The sequence below is a fragment of the Homo sapiens genome, chromosome 17 (genome assembly GCF_000001405.40).
Source record: "Homo sapiens chromosome 17, GRCh38.p14 Primary Assembly".
NCBI lineage: Eukaryota > Metazoa > Chordata > Mammalia > Primates > Hominidae > Homo > Homo sapiens.
In genome coordinates this window covers 79254338-79276646 of record NC_000017.11, presented here as the reverse complement: position 1 = coordinate 79276646, position 22309 = coordinate 79254338, and the positions used below count along the sequence as shown (strand labels likewise).

Genomic DNA, 22309 nt, shown 5'->3' with positions numbered 1-22309 from the left:
GTGGCACAAGCTGGGCTCACTGCAACCTCTCACTCCTGGGTTCAAGCGATTCTCCTGCGTCAGCCTCCCGAGCAGCTGGGATTACAGGCGCCCACCACCAGACCCAGCTGATTTTGTATTTTTAGTAGAGATGGGGTTTCACCATGTTGCACAGGCTGGTCTCGAACTCCTGACCTCAGGTGATCCGCCCGCCTCAGCCTCCCAAAGTGCTGGGATTATAGGCGTGAACCACCGCGCCTGGTCAAGAAACATTATTTTTTTAAAAAAGCAGCTTTATTGAGATAACAATTCACAAGCCATTCACTCCTTTAGGGTGTACAATTCAGGGGTTTTTAGTGTATTCAGAGTTGGGCAACCATCACCATAATCCGGTCTAGAATGTTTCCTCACCCAGAATAACCTTGACCCACCAGAGTCACTCATTTCTGCCTCGGCCAGCCCTTGGGGGACAGTCCTCTGCTCTCCATCCCTGGATGGCTCTGCTCCAGACGTGTCACGTGAATGGAATCATGCCACGCGGGGCCTTTGTGTGGCTTCTGCCTCTGAGCGTACCGTCTTCAGGGTTCATCCACGGTGCAGCATGTGTCAGAAATGCCCTCCTTGTTATGGCCGAGCACAATTCCATTGTGTGGATGGACTGCAGTGTGTGGATCATTTCATCACTTGATGACATTCGGGTTGTTTCCCGTTTTTGGCTGTGGTGAATGACGCTGCAATGAATACGCGTGTGCAGCTAGTTGTTTGAACATACATTTTCGTTTCTCTTGGGTATATACCACGGATGGAACACCTGGGTCCTCCGGTGGCTCTGGATTTAGAGGAAATGTCACCTCTGATTGTTCCAGCTCCAAGCCCAGCCCGAGGGCCTCCTGCTTCCTGACCATCCATAGCCCACCATGTGCCACTTGACCACACAGTGTTAGTATGGGTGAGATGGGGTGGGGGAGCTACCGTAACCAGATCTGAAGTCCTTTGAGGGTGGCCGATGCATCTGGCAGAGAGCCAGGCACAGTGGTGTGCTGGCAACCCTGCCTGATACCCCCTGTGCTTCTGTGTCCATTGGGGAGGGGCCCTCACCCATTCCTTCACTTCCCTTCAAGGACTTCAGTGAGCGTGCGGTCTGCACCCTCCAGGTATTGGGGATGTGGGTGGCCCTGAGCTCATGAAGCCTACCGTCTTGGAGGTTGGGGGGGGACCATTAGTCCCCAAACAGGAAATCATGATCACGTGAGTGCTCAGCAGAGAACAGAACAAGTGTGAGGCCCAGGCTGTGCTTCAGGCCTGGTGGTCAGGGGCCTCTCTGAGACCTAATGACCCGGTGACATCAGGGACAGAGAAAACCAGACACAGGGACAGCTGGAGTGCAGGCCCCAGCCAGGAACAAGCTGGGAAGGTCAGAAGAATCTGGGAGGAAATTTTAGTGAGAAGGGGAGGAACATGAGGCCAGGGGAGGAGCATGAGGCCAGGGGAGGGGGAGAGAGATAGGGAGGGAGACAGAGAGAGAGAGAGAGAGAGAGAGAGAGGGAGACATGGAGAGAGAGGCAGAGAGAAGGGGTGTAGAGGCAGGCTGGCTCAGGAAGGCCGGGTAGCACAGCCAAGAGTCTAAGGCAGGACCAGTTTGGCTCCTAGCTCTGGGGCTGGTGGATGATGGAGGTGGGACGGGGGTGGGGTGGGGATGCCTGCGGGGGCCATGTGAGACCCTAGTGTGGGGAGGGGGTGAAAATGACCTGGATTGGGGCACTAGCAGGACGTAGAGAGAAGGGGATTTGGGGTTGGTTTTGGAGGCAGGGCTGAGAGGCTTGCTGGTTGGATTGTGCTGGCGGGACCGTGGTCAGGGAGGATGGGCAGGAGCCAAGCGTGCCTCCTGGGCTTTCGCTGAAGCTGCAGGCAGGGGAGACATTTCCTGGGGTGGAAAAGTCTGGGGGCCAGTAGCGGGGAGTGAGCCAGGTGGAGACGTCTGTGCCCCCAGCCTCTTGGGGGATGAGGGGACCCTCGCTGGTGCCCTGACTTGGCATTTCCAGGTGCCACAGAGCCAGCCCTGCACCACAGGGCTCCCTGAGCCCCACGACCAGGAACAGCCTCTGCCCAGGGCAGGTGGGAGGACAGAGGTCGGACCAGCCTCCCCGCCCAGATACGGAAGCTTCAACTCCTCGGCCTCACAGCAGGACAAAGGAGTTCCCTCGCGCCTGAGTGCAGAGAAGAGCTGCGACACCTTGGTTTGGCTGAGCACTTACCATGTGCTGGGCCCTTTGCCGAGCAATCTTACAATTCTCTCACTTCATCTTCATGACATCCGATGAGGCGGTACTATTTCCTTGTGTTGCAAATGAGGAAACTGAGGCAGCAAGGTCCTGAAGCTCCTGCCAGGTTACAGGGGCAGGAAACTCTCCGCCATCCTGATATCCAACCCCCATCCCAGTCTCCAGCCAAAAGGCAGGAGCACATCTTGAGAACAATTGTAGGAGGGGTACCAGTGCCCAGACAGGTGGTACCAGTGCCCAGACAGGTGGACACTGCTGGTGGGAGGACCGGCCAGGGCACACCGCCTTCTCTCAGCCAGCTGTATGCATGGGGTCAGCGTCCGCCCCTGCCCTGGCTCAGCAGCTCTGCTGACACCTAACCGTCTCTCCACAAGGCCAGGGTGGCGCTGGACACTAATCTGGGGCACACCTGTGCTGAATCGCCAACCCTGGAAGAGTTGTGCCTGCAGGAAACGGAGGAGGCAGGGAGACCTGGGTCAGCTCCAGCTGGCTGGACCAGGTCAGGTCCCTTCTTGGCAGAAGGTTCCTCCTTCCCCCCTGCAAATACTGCCTGTCACTGTGGCAGGAGGGCACGGGCTCCCTGCAGCCCAGCTCTTTCTGTCCTCGGACTTTAACTGTTTTTGCACTGAAGCCAGCTCCTGGCACCTGGCCACAGCCATCCTGGACCTGCCCCGCTCGGACATCACTGCCAATGGGGCTGAGCTCTGTGGTACCAATGCCCATCTTGGGACCACCTATGTGCCCCAGGACCAGGGCCAGCCTCACGCTGCCCCCCAGGACTAGCCCCATCTGCTAGCACCCCGCCCCCGCCCCCCCCAGAGCACTGTTTACCCTATAGCCTGCCAAGCTAAGCCTGGCTTGGTGATTTCACTGGGGGACCACTGGGACTCTGGGCACAGGGCAGCCTACTATGTGAAGGCCTCTGCACACCTCCTCCAACAACCTGACTCCATCCACCCCACCCTAAAACACTCTCTCCCCTTCTCACAGCCCTGGACTGAAGTATCCTGGAAAATTCCTGTGACACCAGGTTTCAGGCAGATTGCTCTGAATACAGACTTTGGTCTCAGCCCTGTCCCCACAACCAATAAAAAATGACAAGAGTGCAAGTGGCCCTCAATCCCTGGTGGTGGACGTCACTCCTGGGGGCTTCAGGCCGGCTGTGGAAGGGTTGACTCAGATTGCTGCAGGGGCTCAGAGAACACCCTGGATCTGCTGGCACAGGCAGGGCAGTGCCACCCGTCCACCAGGTGGCTAGATTCCGCCAGGGACTCCTGGTAGTCACAGGTCACCACTCTGTTCTTTGGCTCCAAGCCAAGCCCCAGAGGGAGTCAGTGCTACCCCTGGGAGGCAGAGCCCCAGCATGGCGCCCCTTGAAACGTGGGAACATTTTTCAAATTCCTAGCAGGTTAGTGGCTTCCCTGCCATGGCCCACCACCCTCGGAGGCTCCTGGTACTGGGGTGGCCCTAGAGATGGGGACACGGGGCAAGCAGACAGGCACAGCTGGCACATCGGGAAGACAATCTTTCTGGAGAAAGATGTTGGGAAAGGGGACAGGAGAGGAAGAGGGCAGGATTCAAGCCCCAGCTTCCTGCATCCAGAGCCCTCCCTCCACAGCACCCCAGGACTGACTCACACAGGAACACGTGCCAGGTGACACAATTATCTGCGATGACAGAGCTGGAACTGAGCAAAACTCCCAACTTAAACAATTTCACCAACAACAGGGAAGTCCCCAAAGGGGGCAGTTGGAGCGATCTGATAGGAGGACAGGAGAGACCCCCTACCCCCTCCTCAGGAAACGAAGGGGCCACCTGGGGAGGCAGCCAGGTGGGACCTGCGTGGCCCCGCGTGGGCAGGGGCCATGTGGCTCCCCAGGCCGGCCGGCAGCCTGTGTAACACTGAGAAGAGGGGAATGGCTTGTCTCAGCAACCACTGGAGAGAAAATGCTGATGGTTATTCCCGTTATCTTGTGATTTTAAGTGATAATATCACCAGTGTGTTGCCACCTGCATGCAGGCCTGGACTCAGATGAGCCATGTGTCACAGGGACAGTCAGACAGTGAGGCCTGGGTCTTCCTGCAAACAGAATGTGAGGGTCTCATTCAAGGTAACCCCGAGATCAGCAGAGCCCCCCGCCCCCAGCCACAAAGGCCATGTAACCAGTGGCTGCCAATAGCAACGGCGGCTGCTGCCTGTGTATTTCTGGTCTCTAAGCCTGGACTGTTTCTCTCCAGCAGGGAGCCCCACACACCCCAAAGCTGGTGTTAACCACCCTCCCCCTCGCCCTTTCCTGACTCCACAAGTTTCCGTCGTCTCTCAGCCTCGGCGTTCCCACCCCGAAAAGGGAGATGGCCCTAACCAGGCCCACCCAGCGGGCTATTTTGAGGACATATATTCCGCGGGAAGGGCCAGCTCAGTGCTGAATAACTGGCCGGCCCTCTGTGGCCGGCTGCTGGTGTGGATTCTGTTCTTGCGGTCACTGGCTGGACTAGACCCTTTGGAGCCATGGGGAGCCCCCGGGGAACTCCTGTGCCTCTAGGTCCTGACTCTCCTCATGGTGTCCTGGGAGTAGGATCCGCTTCTTCTCTGGGATCTGATACTTTCTACAGTGGCTCTGTACCCTTTAGGACCAGTGTCCTTACTGTCTTTAATTAGGCAACGGGGTCCAGAGAAGTCTGGTGATTTGCCCAGGGTCACCCAGGGAAGTAGCCGCAGGGTCAGAGCTTTCAGTTGGAATGAGATGGGGTGGGAGAAGGGAAAGTCAGAAGAAAGACTTGGTGGTAGGAACATGGCCCAGGCATCCTCTGCCCTCAGAGAGAGGGCTCCAGCATGCCTTGGGAGGGACCTGATCCTGGGAGAAAGCCCTGCCCGGGGAGAAGGACAGCGCAAAGAGCGGCTAATGAGCTTGAGTCCGGCAGGCACACAGGGATCCGACCCAAGCTTAGAAGACTCCCATGCCTGGCTTAATGCTCTGCTGTCCCACCTTCAAATTCTTACTAATTTTTAGGCCGGGCACGGTGGCTCACGCCTGTAATCCCAGCACTTTGGGAGGCCAAGACACATGGATCATCTGAGGTCAGGAATTCGAGACCAGCCTGGCCATCATGGTGAAACACTGTCTCTACTAAAAATACAAAAATTAGCAGGGCATGGTGACGGGCACCTGTAATCCCAGCTACTCAGGAGGCTGAGGCAGGAGAATCGCTTGAACCCGGGAGGCAGAGGTTGCAGTGAGCCGAGATCGCACCATTGCGCTCCAGCCTGGGTGACAACAGCAAAACTCCGTCTCAAAAAAAAAAAAAAATCTTATGAATTTTTAAGAAAAGATGCATATTTTCATTTTGCAATGGGCCCTGAAAATTAAGTCATCAGTCCTGGGCTTTGGAGAAGAAAAAAACAAAAAAGAAAAGAAAGAGAAAGAAAAAGAAAAGGAATCTGAATCCAGCCCTAGCATGTTGTTGCATAACATTGGAAAATGACTGAACCTCTCGGCCTCATTTCCTTATCTGCAAAATGGGGATGAAGATGGCGTGTAGTACATGCTCTGTGCAAGGTATTGTCATGGTCATGCCAGTGGGCAAAGCCTGTTGTCCCTCTGTGTGTTTGTGGATTAAAGCAGGAGGGCTTCCCCACATTGCCCCCTAGGCCCAGTGGAGGAGGAACAGGGCCGCCAGAACTGCCTCTTTCCCCTCCTTACTCTGCCTACATCGCTCTCTTTGCAGGCGCTGCACCTGGAGGGGGACCAGTCTTGGATGCCTTTAGTGGTGCGTCCTGGCCTGGCACCATTGCATTATTCTCAGTGAGAAATGGCGGCCCTTGTTCCTGCCCAGTGGCAAAGGGAAAGAAGAGAGGTGGCCATATTAAATAATAGGAAAGGACAGACCTGGGTACAGGAGAAGGGGAGGCATGGTGGATGGGTCACAGGTGTTTGGCTTGAGCAACACAGGGGAGGGGGTGCCCGCTCTTGAGCTGGGGAGTGCAGGAGGAGAGGCTTTTAGGGAAGGGTACTGAGATCAGCCTTAGAGGTTTGGGTATCTGAGGGACCCCAGTGGACAGGTCAGTACACCTGCAGAGATGGTTCTGAACTCAGGAGAGAGGCAAGGACAGCACACTTCTCTTTGGAAGTGATCAGCACAGGGCTGTTCTCAAAACCATGGCGGGGGCCCTGGCAGAGGAGTTGGGAAAAAGGGAGCAGGGAATGCTCCTCCATGGAAACTGACATTTTTGAGGAAGAGGAGCCAATGGCAAAGGGAAGGAGGACGGAGGAGAACCAGGAGGGTGGCCACAGAGGCGGAAGACCAGCGAGAGGGTGGCAAGAAGGAGGAAGGGAGTGATTCGCAGAGGGGGAGAGGTCAAGCCAAGAAGGCAGACAGATGCTCGCTGAATGGAGAAGCAGCAGAGGCCCTGAGGGCAGCAGTGGCGTCCCCACCCCAGATGCTGCAGGGCAGGCACAGGGAGGGGCAGTGTGGGCAGGTGGATAAGGGCAATGGCGGGGCTCACTTTGCTGGAGAGTTTGCAGGTGGATGAGGGCAGTGGTGGGGCTCACCTTGCTGGAAGGCTTGCTTGTGATGATGTTTACAATGGAAAGGAACCCAGCATTTAAATGCTAATGGCAAGGAAAGACAGGGTGTTGACACTGGAGAGAGGACAGTGACAGACAAGGGAGAGGAAAGACCCAGGCCCCGCCAGGAGAAAAGAGGTGGGGGGTGCAGGGAGCTGACAGTGGAACAGGAGGGGAGGTCACCGGCAGAAAGTCAGGTAGGGGGAGAACAGAGAAGGTGTGGATGGGACGATCCCCAGGGAGACGGGGAGGAGGATCCAGAGGGCCAGGTGACAATAGAGAAGGTGTGTTTATAGGGTAGTGATCCTCAAGGGGGGAATTTTTTCCCACAGCTCTCAGAGGCAGGAGTGGGAAGGGCCAATATTCATTGAGCACCTGCTGCCTGCGAGGAGTCCTGGACAGTGACCTGTGACTTCTTGGATGGTTGAGTCCTGGCGTCTGTGTGAGTTTCCTGGGGCCACCGTAATAAACTACCCAGCTTCAACAGCAGAAATGCCTCCTCTCCCAGTTCTGGAGGCCAGGACTCTGAAGTCAGGGTGTGGGCAGGGCTGCATTTTCTCTGAAGGCTCTAAGGGAGGATCCATCCTGGCCTCTTCCAGCTCCTGGGACCCCGGGCATTACTTGGCGGGGACAGCATCACTGCAATCTCTGCCTCAGCCCTCCCATGCCTTCTTCCTGGCGTGTGCCTGCACGTCTCTATCTTTTGTGTCCGCATCTCCCCTTCTCAGAAGGACCCCAGTGATTGGATGTAAAGCCCACCCCAGTCCAGTCTGACCTGATCTTAGCTAACTGCAAAGATCCTATTTCCAAATGAGGTCACATTCTGAGGCTTTAGGTAGACATGAATTTGGGGGGACACCCCAGTACAACAGCTAAGCTGGACAAGGAGGCGTGTGAAGACAAGGGGGTGAGAGGGAGACGTTTCAGGGAGCAATGGCTGAGCTGTCCTAATTAGGCCCAGGACCAATGTCCTCTGTGGGAGGAAGGAACAGGAATGAGAGAAAGAGGAAAGAGGGTGGCAGGCAGCGGGCAGCACAGGTTGGGATGAGGTCCGGGGGCTACTGGAGAGGGACAGATGGGGAGCGGAGTGAAGGTGTGGGAAGTCAGGGAGCGGGAGGGATGCCAGAGCCATGGGTCATCACACGGGGGCTGGAGTCAGCCAGGGCATGAGTGTGGCTTTTCCTGGGGGAAGGGAGTCCAGGAGGATGTGCAGGCCAGGGGCTTGGGGTCACAAAGGAGAAGATCAGCTTCCTTTTCCCATGAAGATGGCAGAGGACTGGCCTGGGAACTGTGGCTGGAGCTCAGAGGGCAGAAGAGACGTCCCCACCCGCAGCGGGAGAGTTAGCAGCACCCCAGCTGAGGAAGGGCCAGAAGGTCTGTCTTGGAGGAAGGGGCTGAGCTTGGCCTCTGTGGTCAGGAGTGTGGTACTCAGACCCATGGGGAAGCCATCAAGAGGCAATGTCGGTCATGCCCAGGGGAGAACTTTTGAGTAGGGGCAGTTTCTGGAATGAAATGGGAGGTGAGGCAAGGTGGGCTGGGAAACACTGGGACGGTTACAGAGGCAACCTGAGGGTGGCCAGGGTCTGGCTAGATGGTCTGCAACCCGCCAGTCCTGAGCAGATGCTCCCCACAGGGGACACCCTCGCAGACTCGCAGACGAGAAGCCACTCTCCCTGCTTGCCCCTCACGGCAGCCAGGAAACGCATCTACTCCGCCTCCAGGAGATGGGAGAGACAACGGATGATGCGGAGGGTTGAAAGAGGTGAAAACTCCCTGGAGAAGGGGAAAATTTGCAGAGACCGAGGACATTTTTGACATGTGCAGGTTGAATTCTATAGTGGGGGTATAAAAAGTGGAAGGCATTTTAGAAATCGTGTGGATAGAGCCCAGAGCCATCAAGAGTTAGGCTGGAGAGACACCTCCTTCCCGTCCTTTTCTCTCTGCCTTGCGCGTTCCTAGCTCCTCCTCCTTCTACCTTGCCAGTTGACACGCCCAGGTTTCCACACCTTAGACCCTTCCTGGGCTTCTCCATGACTCAGGAGGTCTCTCCCTGAGAGGAATGGTGTCAGCCAAGGTCCCAGACAACAAGGCCATGAGCTCTGGCATCTTCCTCCATAGAGAGTGACATGGGGCCAGGCCTGGTAGCTCACACCTGTAATCCCAGCACTTTGGGAGACTGAGGCAGGTGGATCGTCTGAGGTCAGGAGTTCAAGACAAGCTTGGCCAACATGGTGAAATCCTGTCTGTACTAAAAATACAAAAATTAGCCGGGCATGGTGGCATGCGCCTATAATCCCAGTTAGTTGGGAGGCTGAAGCAGGAGAATCACTTGAACCCAGGAGGTGGAGGTTGCAGTAAGCCGAGATCGCGCCACTGTACTCCAGCCTGGGCAACAGAGCAAGGCTCTATCTCAAATCAAAAAAAAAAGAGAGAGAGTGACATGGGCATCTTGGCTCGGGGTCACAGCATTTCAGGACTGGACAGAACTTGGAGATCATCCATCCCATCACCATCAGCTTGAAGGGGAGGCACTGAAGGCCCTAAAGTTTCAGCGACCCGCCAAAGAGTATGACTCCCCAACCGAGGCTGAGAGATGGCACAGGGCCCAGAGCCAGCAAGGTCTGCATCTGGTGTGATGCCCCCTTGCCCCCACCCCAAGTGGGTGGGCTTCAGTGCAATTCTGCCACTCACTGCTCAGAGTCAGCCTCAGACTCCAAGGTGCAGGGCAAAGTCCCCCACAAGACCACCCTAACTTCCAAGCCAGCTCCTAGTTTCAGGACCCACCTTCTGACCAGCCAGCTGCAAATTCTGGGGTTCCCATGACCGCCTCAGGTTCAGTCATTGCTAGAACATCTCACAGAACTCAAGAAAGTGGCATGCAAATGATTCCAGTTTTGTTATAAAGGATCCAGGGAGGGTGAGGTCTGAGCAGGAGCGCGGAGCTCCTATGCCCTCACCCCATCACTCTCCAGGCACACCCACGTGTTCGCCAAGCAGGAAGCTCCACCACACTTAGGGGCCCAGAGCTTTCTCCATCAGGATTTCATTATGTAGGAATGATTGATGACATTACTGGACACCTGATTGAACTCCATCTCCAGCCCCCTCCCCTCTCCTGAGGTTGAGCCAGTCTGAAGTCCCAGCCCTCTAATCACAAAGTTGGTGTCTCTGGGGCCAGCTCCCATTCTGAAGCTATCTTATCTAGGGGCCACCAAGAGTCATCTCATAACTTTCTAAAGACCGTCCTGGCACACGGGAAATTCCAAGCACTTCGGGAGCTCCGCGTTGGGAACCCGGCCCAGTAACAGCCCTCCTGAAAGTCAAATCACAGAACACAGAAACTTAGCAAACAATTCCAACCCAGTTCTGAATAATACCCCCTAAGAAAAGGAACAGTCCCAACAGAACACAGAAAGCACAGCTGGATGAGATGGGCGGGCGGAGCACTGACTTCAGCAGGTAAATCAGAAGCTGAAGCAAACAAGGTGAGAAGGTGCCTGGACCACGAGGATGAGGACACTTCCCTTCAAGGGGCTGAAATGTCCTCAAGGGGAATGTGCCAAGAAGTCCAGGCTCCCACATCAGCTGGGGATGGAGGCCAGGCCAGACAGGAAACTTGCTCACTTCATTCAAGGTTGTTTCTGCCATGGGAGAACAGGCTGCTATAACCAGGGTCTTTTCCCATTGGAATCAAAGGAAGGAGGGCAGGGCAATGCCCAGAGAAGGCTGAGAGGGGCGGGAAGGCTGGAGCAGACAGTCTCACCTGCCCGGTCCGGGTGAGCAGCCCTCTGGGAAAAGTCAGCTCTGGTCTAGGTCTGTTACAGCGGGAATGGATTTACACAGTGTTTGTATAAATTTAAATTCCTGCTGCCTAAGCAGTCTGGATGCTGTGCCATGAGCCTTCTTGACCTGAGCTCTGTGGGGGCCCCCTCCCCAAGCCAGTTCTGAGCCACCTGTCCAAAGTCACCTGGAGCTGGCGGTAGACACGACCTGCCCAGAGTTGGCAGGCCTGCCCAGCCGCAGGCTCTCAGGAAGCAGGTTATAAGCTTACCTGCAAAATCCCAGCCCACTAAATCTCCGGAATGGGAGAGAATTCACCTAATGGAATTAGAAAGTATAAAATAGCAGTGATCTTGAAAGGCATTCGGAAACTAAGCCCTTTCTGGAAATTGGAAAGTCGCTAACATCAGCCTGGGAGACCCTGGAAATTACAGACCCGCGTGCCCAGGGGTAATAAGGTCAAACTGCTACACATATCTAAAAGGAAATCAGACTCTCTAACTCTCCAGAGTGCTCTAAAAAGTTAATAAAGTGGCAGTCCTTCTGGCAGCCCAGTGGACATAATTTACCTGTGTTTTCAAAAAGCTTTTGATGAGGTCCTTCATGAGAGACTATTAGGGAAAGGAAAAAGCAAGAGAGAGGACAGTGTCAGCTGCTGCCGGTGAAACCCTCGTTAAGCGGGAGGCTGTGGGAGCCCCGGAGGCCAGCTGCTCCCCATGACCGCCTGAAGACAGTTAATAATTGTGGCCCCCCAGGGCCGGCTTCGGGGAGGACACGGCATTACATTTAAAAACTTAGGAGCAAGCTCATGAAACCTGGTTTCATTTCCAGCATTCCTCCAGGCTGAAGGGTGGTGAGAGGGTTTTGTTCTTTGGAACTGTTTGTGTTCTGCGTTTTGTCCTTTGGAACGGGGGGCTGGACTGCCTCTGCCCAGCTCACCCTGTGGTCACTGCCGAGCGTGGCATCTGGCAGGGGAGGTGGTGGAAAGTCTGCTTGGAACAGAGCTGCATGGGCTGCTTTCTGTAGTAGTTTGATGCAGTTTTTATGATCGCCACAAATCTGCGCCCCCCCCCCCTCCTCTCGCACTGAGGGTCTCCAAGGGCATTCGTGGCAGTAATGCCGGACACTTCCCCATGTTCTCACCCAGCTTGCCCTGCAGAACCGTACAGGGGAGCAGAACCTTCCAGCGGGGGCAGGAGCCAAGGAGAAGGCACAGAACATGGGGAAGTCGAGGCCCGGTTCGTGGGGCACACCGCCTCTGGCAGTATACACAGGACCCACCAATCACAGAGACTGTACCCCGGGCCCATGCTTGCTAAGGTCCCAGGGAGGAAAACAGAAACAGCATCAGGTGGGTGAACTGGGGAAGCTATGAGGAGAATCTGCTCTTGCTAGAATTAAACTCCAGACCAGAGCACGTGGATGAGTCTCCTGGGGCTGCTGTGACAGATGACCACGAACTGGGTGACATGAGACAACAGAAATGGATTCTCACTGTTCTGGAGCCCAGAAGTCTAAAATCAAGATGTCAGCAGGAGCCGGGTGCAGTGACTTCTGCCTGTAATCCTACCAACTTGGGAGGCTGAGGCAGGAGAATCGCTTGAGCCCAGGAGTTCGAGGACAGCCTGGATAACATAGTGAGACCCCCGTCTTTAAAAAAAAAAAAGCCAGGCTTGGTGGCTCACACCTGTAATCCCAGCACTTTGGGAGGGCGACGCACATGGATCACCTGAGGTCAGGAGTTCGAGACCAGCCTGGTCAACATGGTGAAATCCTGTCTCTACTAAAAATACAAAAATTAGCCAGGTGTGGTGGCAGGTGCCTGTAATCCCAGCTACTTGGGAGGCCGAGGGATGAGAATCACTTGAATCCGGGAGCTGAAATCGCACCACTGCACTCCAGCCTGGGCAACAAGAGCAAAACTCCGTCTTAAAAAAAAAAAAAAAGATGCCAACAGGGCTGCGCTCCCGCCAAAGCTCTAGGGAAGGGTCCTTCCTGCCTTTCCAGCTTCTAGGGGCTCCAGGCATTCCTTGACTCTCCAATCTCTGCCTCTGGTTCCACGAGCCCTTCTTCCTTGTGTGTCTCAAGCCTCCCTCCTTTCTCTTATAAAGGCAACCGCTATTCGATTTAGGGCTAACCCTAAATCTAGGATGATCTCATTTTATCATCCTTCATTTAGTCATATCTGCAAAGATCCTTTTCCAAATAAGGTCACATTCCAGCTCTGGGGGTTAGGACTGGACATACCTTCTTGGGGACATCGTTCTGCCCCTCGTAAGCGCGCGTTCATCCAGCCATTCGCTGGCTGCCCCCTGTGTGTCAGGCACCGTTCTAGGCAACAACACGCAGAGTCCTAGCTCTCATGGAGCCTGGGCTCGGGGCAGAGGGGGTGTGGTGGCATTTGGTCTGCCTTCCAGGTGGATATGACCTGGCCACCCTAGAGAGCAGGTGGGGGTGGCTCACGATGAGCTGGGGCAGCCTCTGCCTTCCTGCCTCCTCTCCAGTGGCCACTCCCAGGACTTCTGCCACGAGCAGCACGGGACTCTCCCAGCCAGGGCCCAGGGCCCCGCCACGACTGGTAAAAACCTGACCAGGGGCAGAAGGCCTCTGTGTCCGCAGAAACTCCACGTGCCTTCCAGCGTTCCAAACAAATCACATAAATTTCAAGTGCTGCAGAATTTACAAAGTGCCTGTAAAATACCAGCGTTCACTTGGATTGTTCCTTAAAAGTGCTGGCCACCTTCCCAATGCTGGGCCGGGAGAGAGGAAAGAGCAGAAATCACGAAAAGTTTGCCCTTGCTGTGTTCTCCCTCTAGCCTGAGTGTTTCCAGAGCCTGAGCCCTCCAAAGGTTGGGGGAGGCAGCACAGCCGGGGGGGTACCCCAGCATCCACTTGGGTCAGGGTGGCTTCGCGGGGCCCTGGGACCCTGGAGGGGCACGCTAGGCCTGGGCGAGTTACCCTGCCTGAGCTGAAGGCCTGGGCCTGCTCAGCTAAGTCGCCTCAACCCAGAGTGGCCAAGAGCAAGTTCTCCCGGGGGAGGCAGCTGAGGCCTTACCAGCTGCAGCCTCACCTGCAGAGTTCATCAGCCCAGCAAGTGTCTGCCAACAGCTTTGGCAGCCAGGCCACCTGAAACAAGGAGAAGGCAACCAGAGCTGGCGCTTTGCAGCCAAGAAGCAAGAAGGAGCCTCGCCCTATTGGGGCTGCCCCAGTGCTCATGGCTGAAGGCATATGGGTTGGTTTCCATCCAACAGGGAGCAGCTGATACTATTGGACCAGTCTTGGCCTGGCTGTCCTCATGCCCCAAGTAAGGATGGACTCCAGCCTTGTGGGGCACACGGGGCAGCCACAGATCCGTAGCTCCACTCCTGCCTGTGGGCTTGTCCACAGCTGGCACCGTGAGCCTGCACAGAGGGCCCACAGCCCTTCCCACCAGCCTGGGCCTCCCTCCACCTCTTGAGACTGGAATAGGATTAAGGGGTCCTGCCCTCTGAGCAGACAGCAGCACTGATCTAATTTAGGATCCTAATCAGTTTGTCCCTGTGTGATCAGTGGAGATCTACCCATCGATTGTTCTTCAAAGGAGAACGACCGAGGTGGAATTCACAGAGAAATGTGCAAGTCCTGGCAGGGAAACCAAGGAGAGGGACCGTGTCCCCTCAGTGGGATCTGCTTGCGCAGGGTCATGGCTGGCTCCCAGGCCAGTCCTGGCCACCCCTTTCCTACCCACAGCCCCTGTCCGGGGCCCCCCATGGCTGCGGGACTTGCCCCTGGCTGCAGAGCTCTGGGCTTGTGGGAGCCTCCATGGAGAAGCTGAGGCTCAGAACCGCCGCATCTCGGGCTTGGCCTGGCCGCCGCTTAGCCACATTGTGTGTACAGAGCTGTGGCCACGAGAGGCTTTTCCAGAGCAGTGGTTTTGGTTTAACATACAGCCCAGGCAGAGAAAGGGAATCTCAAAGTTACTCAAATAACTCAAAAGAATCTCAAAAGGAATCTCAAACCTCAAAAGGAATCTCAGAGGAACTCAAAGCAAAGTTTTGGAGTGTGTGAAGGATCCCGATGCCCAGCAATCTGCATTAATATTGCAGGTGTTCGTACGCCTCCCCCCTCCACAAGCCCCAGTAAAGGCAAACCCACAATTCCGCGGGGCCGGCCGTGAGCACCTGAAGTCCTCCCCTCCCCTCTTCGGGTTCCATCAGAAGCTGCCAAGAAACAGGAGGGGAAGCCGCTCTGGGGGCCTCTTGTGTGAACAGGGGAAGCGTGGGGTGTGCAGCCTTCATCCTGGTTTCACACCAAGGTCCCCGTGGCGACCAGTGCGGGATGGGATAGGGAGGGTCCTGCCGCCCACCCGCCTGTGTGCGAGCTGCTGCTCAGACGGTGGCCCCTGCTCCAGCAGCCTCCGTGTCACCTGGGACCTTGTGAGAAATGCACCCCCACCACCCCAGACCTGCCGCATCATTGACTCTGCACTGTGGAGAGCCCTCCAGGGAATCCTGTGCCGGGGAGAGAGAGCCGCACAGGCCTGGGAGGCTCCTGGGGGACTGTGGCAGTACAGCGCCTCCACCTGCATCCTCTGCCTCCGGCTCCTTCCAAGGAGCTCCATGCCCCTCAGAACACCACTTTCTGCAAGAGAAAAGCAGGTCTTGGGTCTTGGGAGAGAAAAAGGAAAGGAAAAAGAAAGAGACCCTGTGCATGTGGCTTCGGGGTGCTCGTGCCCCCTCCTTCATTTACTCACACATATTTATTGTTTGCTCTGTGCCAGGCCCTGTCCTGGGCTCTGGAGACACATCAGTGTGTACATCAGGAGACAAAGCAGATAAAAATCTCTTGTTGTGCTTACATTGCAATAGGGGAGATGGGCAGTTGGGGGAACAGATGAGTATGTTTGTAGGGGGCTCGAGGAGCGAACGCCGTGGGGTGGGAACTGGAGGGGTGTAGGGGTATGAAGGCTTTGACTTTACTGAGGTGAGAAAAAGGATCTGGGCAAAGATCGAAGGCAAGCGAGGAACAGCTAGGGTGGGGAGAGGCCCCGGCCCCAGGACGGGAGGGAGGGAGGGAAACACATGGATGGTAGGGGAGAGGCTGGAGTTGGTGCAAAGGCCCTGGGTGGAGTGTGCCGGCAGGTGCCAGGGCCAGTGAGGAGGCCAGTGTGCGGCCCGTGGAGGGTGATAGAGTCTGGCAGTCGGCCAGAGCTGGTGGGCCTCAGAGCTGGGAAAGGACTTTGGAGTTGCTCTGTGATGTGGACTGAAAATCCTCTCCTACATGCCATTTTCTCGCACTTTACAGCGTCTTCCTTGGCCATGTTCCTATCCCCAGGGGAGGGGCGTCGGATTCCCATCAGGCCCCAAGGCCGGGCAAGCTGGCTGCAGCTTGGCTGTGTCCTCAGCCTCAGGCCAGTGTGGCCACACCTCTCTGGGCCACCCCTGGGGCTCTGGATTTGGCCTTGGCCATCAGTGCTGCCCTCAGAGTTAGGGGCACGGGCCTGGCCCCAGCAGCTGACCCCTCACCCGTGGAGGTGCCAGTGGCATCTCTGCTCTATTGGCGTGCACTGTGGGCACCTCGTGGCTCTTTCTGGGGCCCTTCTCAGGCCACGTTCTTTCTTCTCAGGGTTCCTAGCTCCAAGGTGCAGGGGAAAGAACAAGACCCCATCTGGGTTCCACTCAGGGCCCAGAACGTGTGGGGCAGAGGCCACAGACAGTGCTGGATCCACTGTGGCAGGGAGCAGGTGCCGGCACATGGGGCTGCTTTGTGGGAAGGGGCCCTGGGAGAAGCTGAGCCTCAGCAGGGCAGGGGGTCCCCGACAGCTAGCCAGTGGGGAGGGGTGTGAGGGTCTGGGCAAGGCAGGCTCCCATTCCACCTCCCCCTGTACCTCCTTATTTGATGATTAAACCAGGTGGCCGATGGGCTGGGCCAGGCCCAGGGGTGCTCAGTAAGTGCTGGCTAGACAATAAGGGATGTGCAGACAGCACTCTACCTGTCCAGAGGGCTCCCCACACCAGGGGTGTGAGGACCATCTCCCATGGTCCTCACTCTACCCAGGGAAAGTCAGCGGCCAGGAAGGGGCTCAGCATCTGGCTGCCCAGCCCACCTGACTGGATTCACATCCCTGCTGCACTCACAGTTGACATATCTGAGCATCAGTTTCCTCATCTGCAAAAGAGGGATAATGCTCAGACGGGCCTCTTCAGGGAGGAGAGAGAGAGGGAAAATGCTGCCCAGTACTGAGAATGGCGCCTGCTGCAGAGCCCCTGCGGCTACTGTGACCCTGAGATGCGGGGGCACCTAGACACCCAGGCCACACCGAGCCTGTCCCTGCGTCTCCTGGCTCCCGGGGAACGCAGGATTGCCAGGCTCAGCAAAGGGAGCCCGGTCTACTGACCAGCAGGTCCCTGCTCTCAGCCCCCTCCCAGCTGCCTCTGCATCAGCTGAGTGGCCTTCCCTTCCATGCGGTCCCAGGCAACGCCATCTCACCTGGGCCCCCAGAGTCCTGCCTGCTCCCTTCCCTCCTCAGGCCTTGCCTCCCAGATGCAGCTGGTTTGCAGCTTGTCTTCTCAGGAACACAGGAGAGCTCTTCTCTGGCGATGACCCCATCTCTGGTGCCTCCTGCCCCTGCCCTCACCTTCCCATTCGCCTCTGGGGTACAGGCAGCTGCCCTCACCACGGAAGGGCAGGGACCCCAGAACACACCCTCTTGCCACAGGGCTGCGGGTCCTGCAGGTGGACCCTACCCGAGATCGGTGCTGTGCCCACTCCCCACTCCTGCTCCACCCTCGACCCGAGGACAGCACAGCCCCTGGGGCAGAGTCCACAGATGCCAGGTGGGCCAGACACCAGCTGCGTATTGGGTCAGTATTTCAGGGAGAAGAAAAGTGGGTCTATAGAAAAACAGCATTCAGTACCCACCAGTGCTCTGCTGTCGTCATCCCTACAGACAGTTTAGCCTGAAGGGCAGAATTATAAGGGAAAGAGAATTTTGACATTTCTGGTTTTGAGCAATGACTTAGAGCTGGGATTGCAAGTGATAAGCGACTCTGCAAAAGCAGCTGCAGCCACTTAGAAAGAGCAGGCTTCCCTCTAGCAAGCGCTGAGAAAGCAGGGCAGCTTTGGGGCCAGACTTGCTGGGACGGCGCCTTTCGACATGGCATCGAGTAGCCATGGCAGGTGGACTGTGATAGCCGGGTCAAGTACAAGGTGGCCCAGGTGCAGGACCCTCTCTGTCATCGGCAGAGCAGGAGGAGGATGGTGTGGCGAGGGTGGGATTCCCACTAGGAGATGAGCCCTTCCTGAACAGGGTCTTCAGCAGCTGTGAGTGCACCCCCCACCAACCAGCCCCTGCCTCCTGATCTTCCAAAGGGCCTGTCCATCTCTCTTGCTGGGTGCACCTGAGAAGAACTTCGCCACGTTCCCTGTCCCACCCTCCCTTGGCCCTGAGGCTCTAGAGCTCCTTTTAGTCTGCCCAGGATCTGACCCCTGAGTGTCGTTAGTGGTCCTGGCTCCATCCAGGCTGGGGAACCTGTGTTCCATTTAGACAGGGACCCCCGTGGGAAGGGCTGGCCCAGCACATTCCCGTGCTCAGTAAATGCTGAATCATAACAGCAGCAACCTTGACTGTGGTCCACGGCAACACACCTGGTGGGTTCTGAGGAATGGAGATGTTATCCTCTGCTTTCACCTCAGTACAGGAGTATTGAGTAGGGTTTGAGATTTAAGCGGGAATCCGTTTCAGATCCTTTCTCTGTGTCTGCGGCGTATCACTGGAGGCTGCTGTCTGGTGCTGCGACTGCCTGTCAGTGTGGTGCTCCCTGCACTGGGTCAGCCCTGAGAGCTGGATTGGTTTAGCTGAGCTATTCACCGCGGAGGACCAACCAGTGTCTAGCAGCAAAGCAGAAATAGGTTCTTCTGCATTTTCCAAGAGTCATAATCTCTAAAACAGGCTCTTCCTGAAAATGTCAAGAAGCAAACTTGGACTTCTGTGTAGGCATTGGCATCTATTCCCAGTGAGGCCAAAAACCAGAAAGAGAGACAGTGGGGAGAGAAGGGGATAAAGGGGGAGAGAGAAGAAGGATTTGAGACCCCCGTCCCCACAAGATTAGAAGCTGAAAAATGTACCATCATTGCTTTTTATTTTTTTATTTTTTTTTCCCAAAACAAAAGCAAAGGACAGACCAGGCATGGTGGCTCACACCTGTAATCCCAGCACTTTGGGAGGCTGAGGCGAGTGTATTGCCTGAGCTCAGGAGTTCAAGACCAGCCTGACCAACATGGTGAAACCCCGTCTCTACTAAAAATACAAAAATTAGCCAGGTGTGGTGCCATGTGCCTGTAGTCCCAGCTACTCGGGAGGCTGAGGCGGGAGAATCGCTTGAACACAGGAGGTGGAGGCTGCAGTGAGCTGAGACTGCACCACAGCACTCCATCCTGGGTAACAGAGCAAGACTCTGTCTCAGAGGGGGAAAAAAAAAGCAAAGAACAGTGAGAAGGACTCAGGTGTCTTTTCCTGGCCCCATGGGCCCTGCAGCCCTTTGGCCAAACCCCTGGTAGGTGAGCAGCTTCCTGGTCTGCTGCTCTGTCCTCCACTCAGCACAGGCTGTGCTCTCAGCATCTTGGCAGCAGACTCCTCAGGGCACCTGCTAGTCAGAGCATCTTTTTGGTCTCGGGTTTGTATTCTGGGGAAGCTATTGGAACATTGGACCCTTTGGGACTTCACTTGCCAAAGCATGAACTGAAAACTCACCTAACAACATGCATCCCTGTGCTGGTGTCTCTGGAACCGCACAAACCTCCCGGGGCTCGGGGCTTGGGGAAGGACTGCTCAGAGCACCTGCTGGCAGAGGGACTCACAGGAGTCCCCGGAGGCCCCAGGACAGTCACTTCCCGGCATTGATTGTAGTGTGTGCTGCCACATTCCGGCTTCCCAGTGCTACCCTCTCTCCCAGGGGAAGGATGTGAGTCGAACCTCATACTGGAGGGGACCCGTCTGCTGCCTCACGGTAGGGCAGGTGGAGAGACAGCAGGAGTCCACCAGTTCCCCAGATTCCTCCCACCCGCGTCACGAACTTCTTTCCTTTTCTTTTTCTTTTTTTTGTTTTTTTTTTGTTTTGTTTTGTTTGTTTGTTTGTTTTGAGATGGTGTCTCACTCTGTCGCCCAGGCTGGAGTGCAGTGGCACAATCTCGGCTCACTGCAACCTCCACCTCCCAGGTTCAAGCGATTCTCCTGCCTCAGCCCCCCACGAGTAGATAGGATTTCAGGTGCGTGCGCCACCATGCCCGGCTAATTTTTGAATTTTTAGTGGAGATGGGTTTTCTCCTTCTTGGCCAGGCTGGTCTCAAACTCCTGACCTCAGGTGATCCACCTGCCTCGGCCTCCCAAAGTGCTGGGATTACAGGCATGAGCCACCGTACCTGGCAGAACTTCTTTCCCTTTCTTAGAAGAAAGGGGAAGATGACACAGTGTCTTCCACCTAAAGACTTTCTCCTCCCCACAGCCATGGTTCTGCGATTTACATTAAGGGCTGTAGCAGGTTGGAGTAAATGGAGCAGGTTTGCAATTAGTTTTCAAAGTACTTATCTCATTAAAGTAAATGAATTATTGATTTAGGGACACTCATGCTTTTAGTGAGTGGCGTGGTGCCATCCTCACTCTGGGCTTCAGCTCCCGGAGCCGGTGGCCGGCACAAGCAAACTTGCTATGTGTAGGGAATTTTTTTTTAATTTTAATATTTCCTTCTCGTTATTTAGCTTTGTAATTAAAGTGGATTCACATGAGAAAGGAAGGGTCGGTTTATGGGAATAGAAGCCCCAGAGACAAGCGTGCCTCCCTGCAGGAAGGAGCAGAGCTAAGAGGGAGTGATGAGGCTCTTGACCTCCACAGCTGATGAAGGTTGAGCAAGGCGGGGGTGCACACCTGGCGGGGCTGGGAGGGTTTACAATGGGCTGGGGCTTCCCTACCATGGACTGCTAGGTCAGCCCCTCCCGTCCGCACCAGGGAAGTTGGTGGTATGGAAGACAGCTCCAGAAATTCCTAGAGGACTATGACCAGGCATTTTCTGGATGGCTGCTTTGGAAGCCCCCGAGGGAGTTGGCTGGGGAGGCAGCTGTGCCCCTCTGTGCTCGGCAGGCAGCGGGTCCAGGATCCCCAGCCCCAAGCAGAAGACAGGAGTCCCAGAAGTGGTGTCGATTCAGTCCCTACACCAGCAACATCCACCGTCCCTGGGATGTACAGGAGGGTCTTCCTATCTGCGGCCCCTCTAGGAAGGGGAATTGCAGCCATGGAGGAGGAGAAGCCCAGGGACGCTGCCCCTGAGCTGCAGGTGCCCCCGGGATGGTGATCAGCTGGACTGGGAGGCCAGGCCCAGTGCTGCTGCTGAGCACCGGCCACCCTGCCCATGCAGTGTTGACTCAGCAGCTTCCCGAGGCTTCCTGGGAGACGCGGTCGCCAGGGGAAGATGGAGTGTCCCATTAAAGGCCGCTGGCTCATGCTAGCCTCGGCTTCTGGCTGCCTCTAATTTCCACCCTTGGACAATTCAAGGGTGGACACAGCCTTGTTCCTAAGCACAGCCTTGTTCCTGAGCACAGATGGGGGGCCAGGGCTCTGGGGTGGAGAATGGTGACAGGGACTATGCCCCTGTGAGGTCACTTCTTTGAAGAGCAGGGCAGATGTTGAAGTGTCCACGTGTCTCTCAACGGTGTCACTGATGTTCAGCCACCGGGCTGAGACCCACCATAGTGAGTCTACGGCACCGTCACCCCAGACTCCCTCTCCAGTGCTCCTCCTCATGCCACACCCCCAGTACACACACACACACACACACACACACACACGCACACATGTGACCACAGGGCCACTCAGCTCCCATTCTCTGTCCTGGAGGCAGCACCAGACTGGCTGGGAGGGGTGTGGCCTGGGTAGGCCCCATAGGAAAAGCCTGGAGAGAGGTCAAGTTTCTGAGGGGTCAAGGAGTTGGCTAAGGAGGGGAGGCCAAGCAGATACAGGCCCTGGGGGCAGGAAGCCAGCAAGGTCCCAAGGACAAGCTGCCTGCCCTCCGCTCTGACCCACAGTTCCTGCCCAGGATAGAGGGCTCAGGGCACATAGTCCTGCCCCAGGCCCTACCTAGAGCAAGAGTCTGGGGTGTTGCCAATCCCAGCATGTCAGCCTGAAGCCCCACGTTGTCCTTAGAGAGTCCAGCCCATGGTGATAGCCAAGTGGCCATAACCTGGGCCATCCAGCACTTCCAGACATTCTGGGACCCCTCTCATGCCCAGCCAAGATAAGGCACCTGTCCACCTGGATACTGTCCAGGTAAGGCACCCACTCAGGCAGGGCGGGTTTTTCACAGCCTGGACTGACACTGCATGGAGGGGCAAGTATACGAATCGCCAAGAGGGCTCAGAAGTGGCCCCTGGTGGCATAAGACCAACCCAAGCAGGTGGGAGATCCCTGGGGCCAGCACTGGTCACCAGCTGAGGGTTCAAGGGCTCAGCTTCCCAAAGCTCCATCTCTAGCCCCAGAACCCTCAGTCAGGGTCACCTACAGGCTTAGCAACTCAAGGGCTTCCCTCCATCTATGTTCAGAGGTCAGTGTGCAAGAGTCCAGCTGGTTGGTCTCAAGGCTGGGCCCTGGTGCCATGTGTCCTGGATTGGGGGGCAGGTTTGGGGGTATGTGGAGCTAGGGCTGAGGGTCTCAGGAGTAAGGTTCCTCACCTGCTG

The 22309-nt window shown here is 56.2% G+C and overlaps 1 protein-coding gene across 58 annotated transcripts in view; it reads left to right on the top strand.

Annotated features, from left to right (window-relative positions):
- Nucleotides 1–22309, top strand: part of RBFOX3 (RNA binding fox-1 homolog 3) — a 576227-nt gene that overhangs the window by 388925 nt on the left and 164993 nt on the right. The window contains exon 4 of one of the 58 annotated variants that reach the window (NM_001385809.1): nt 11754–11957. The exons of 56 other annotated variants lie outside the window; for them this stretch is intronic. The gene's annotated coding sequence lies outside the window, so the exon portion shown is untranslated. Of the gene's footprint in view, nt 1–11753; nt 12244–22309 lie in introns of all 58 variants that reach the window. One more of the 58 variants, NM_001385834.1, reaches the window with a different exon arrangement.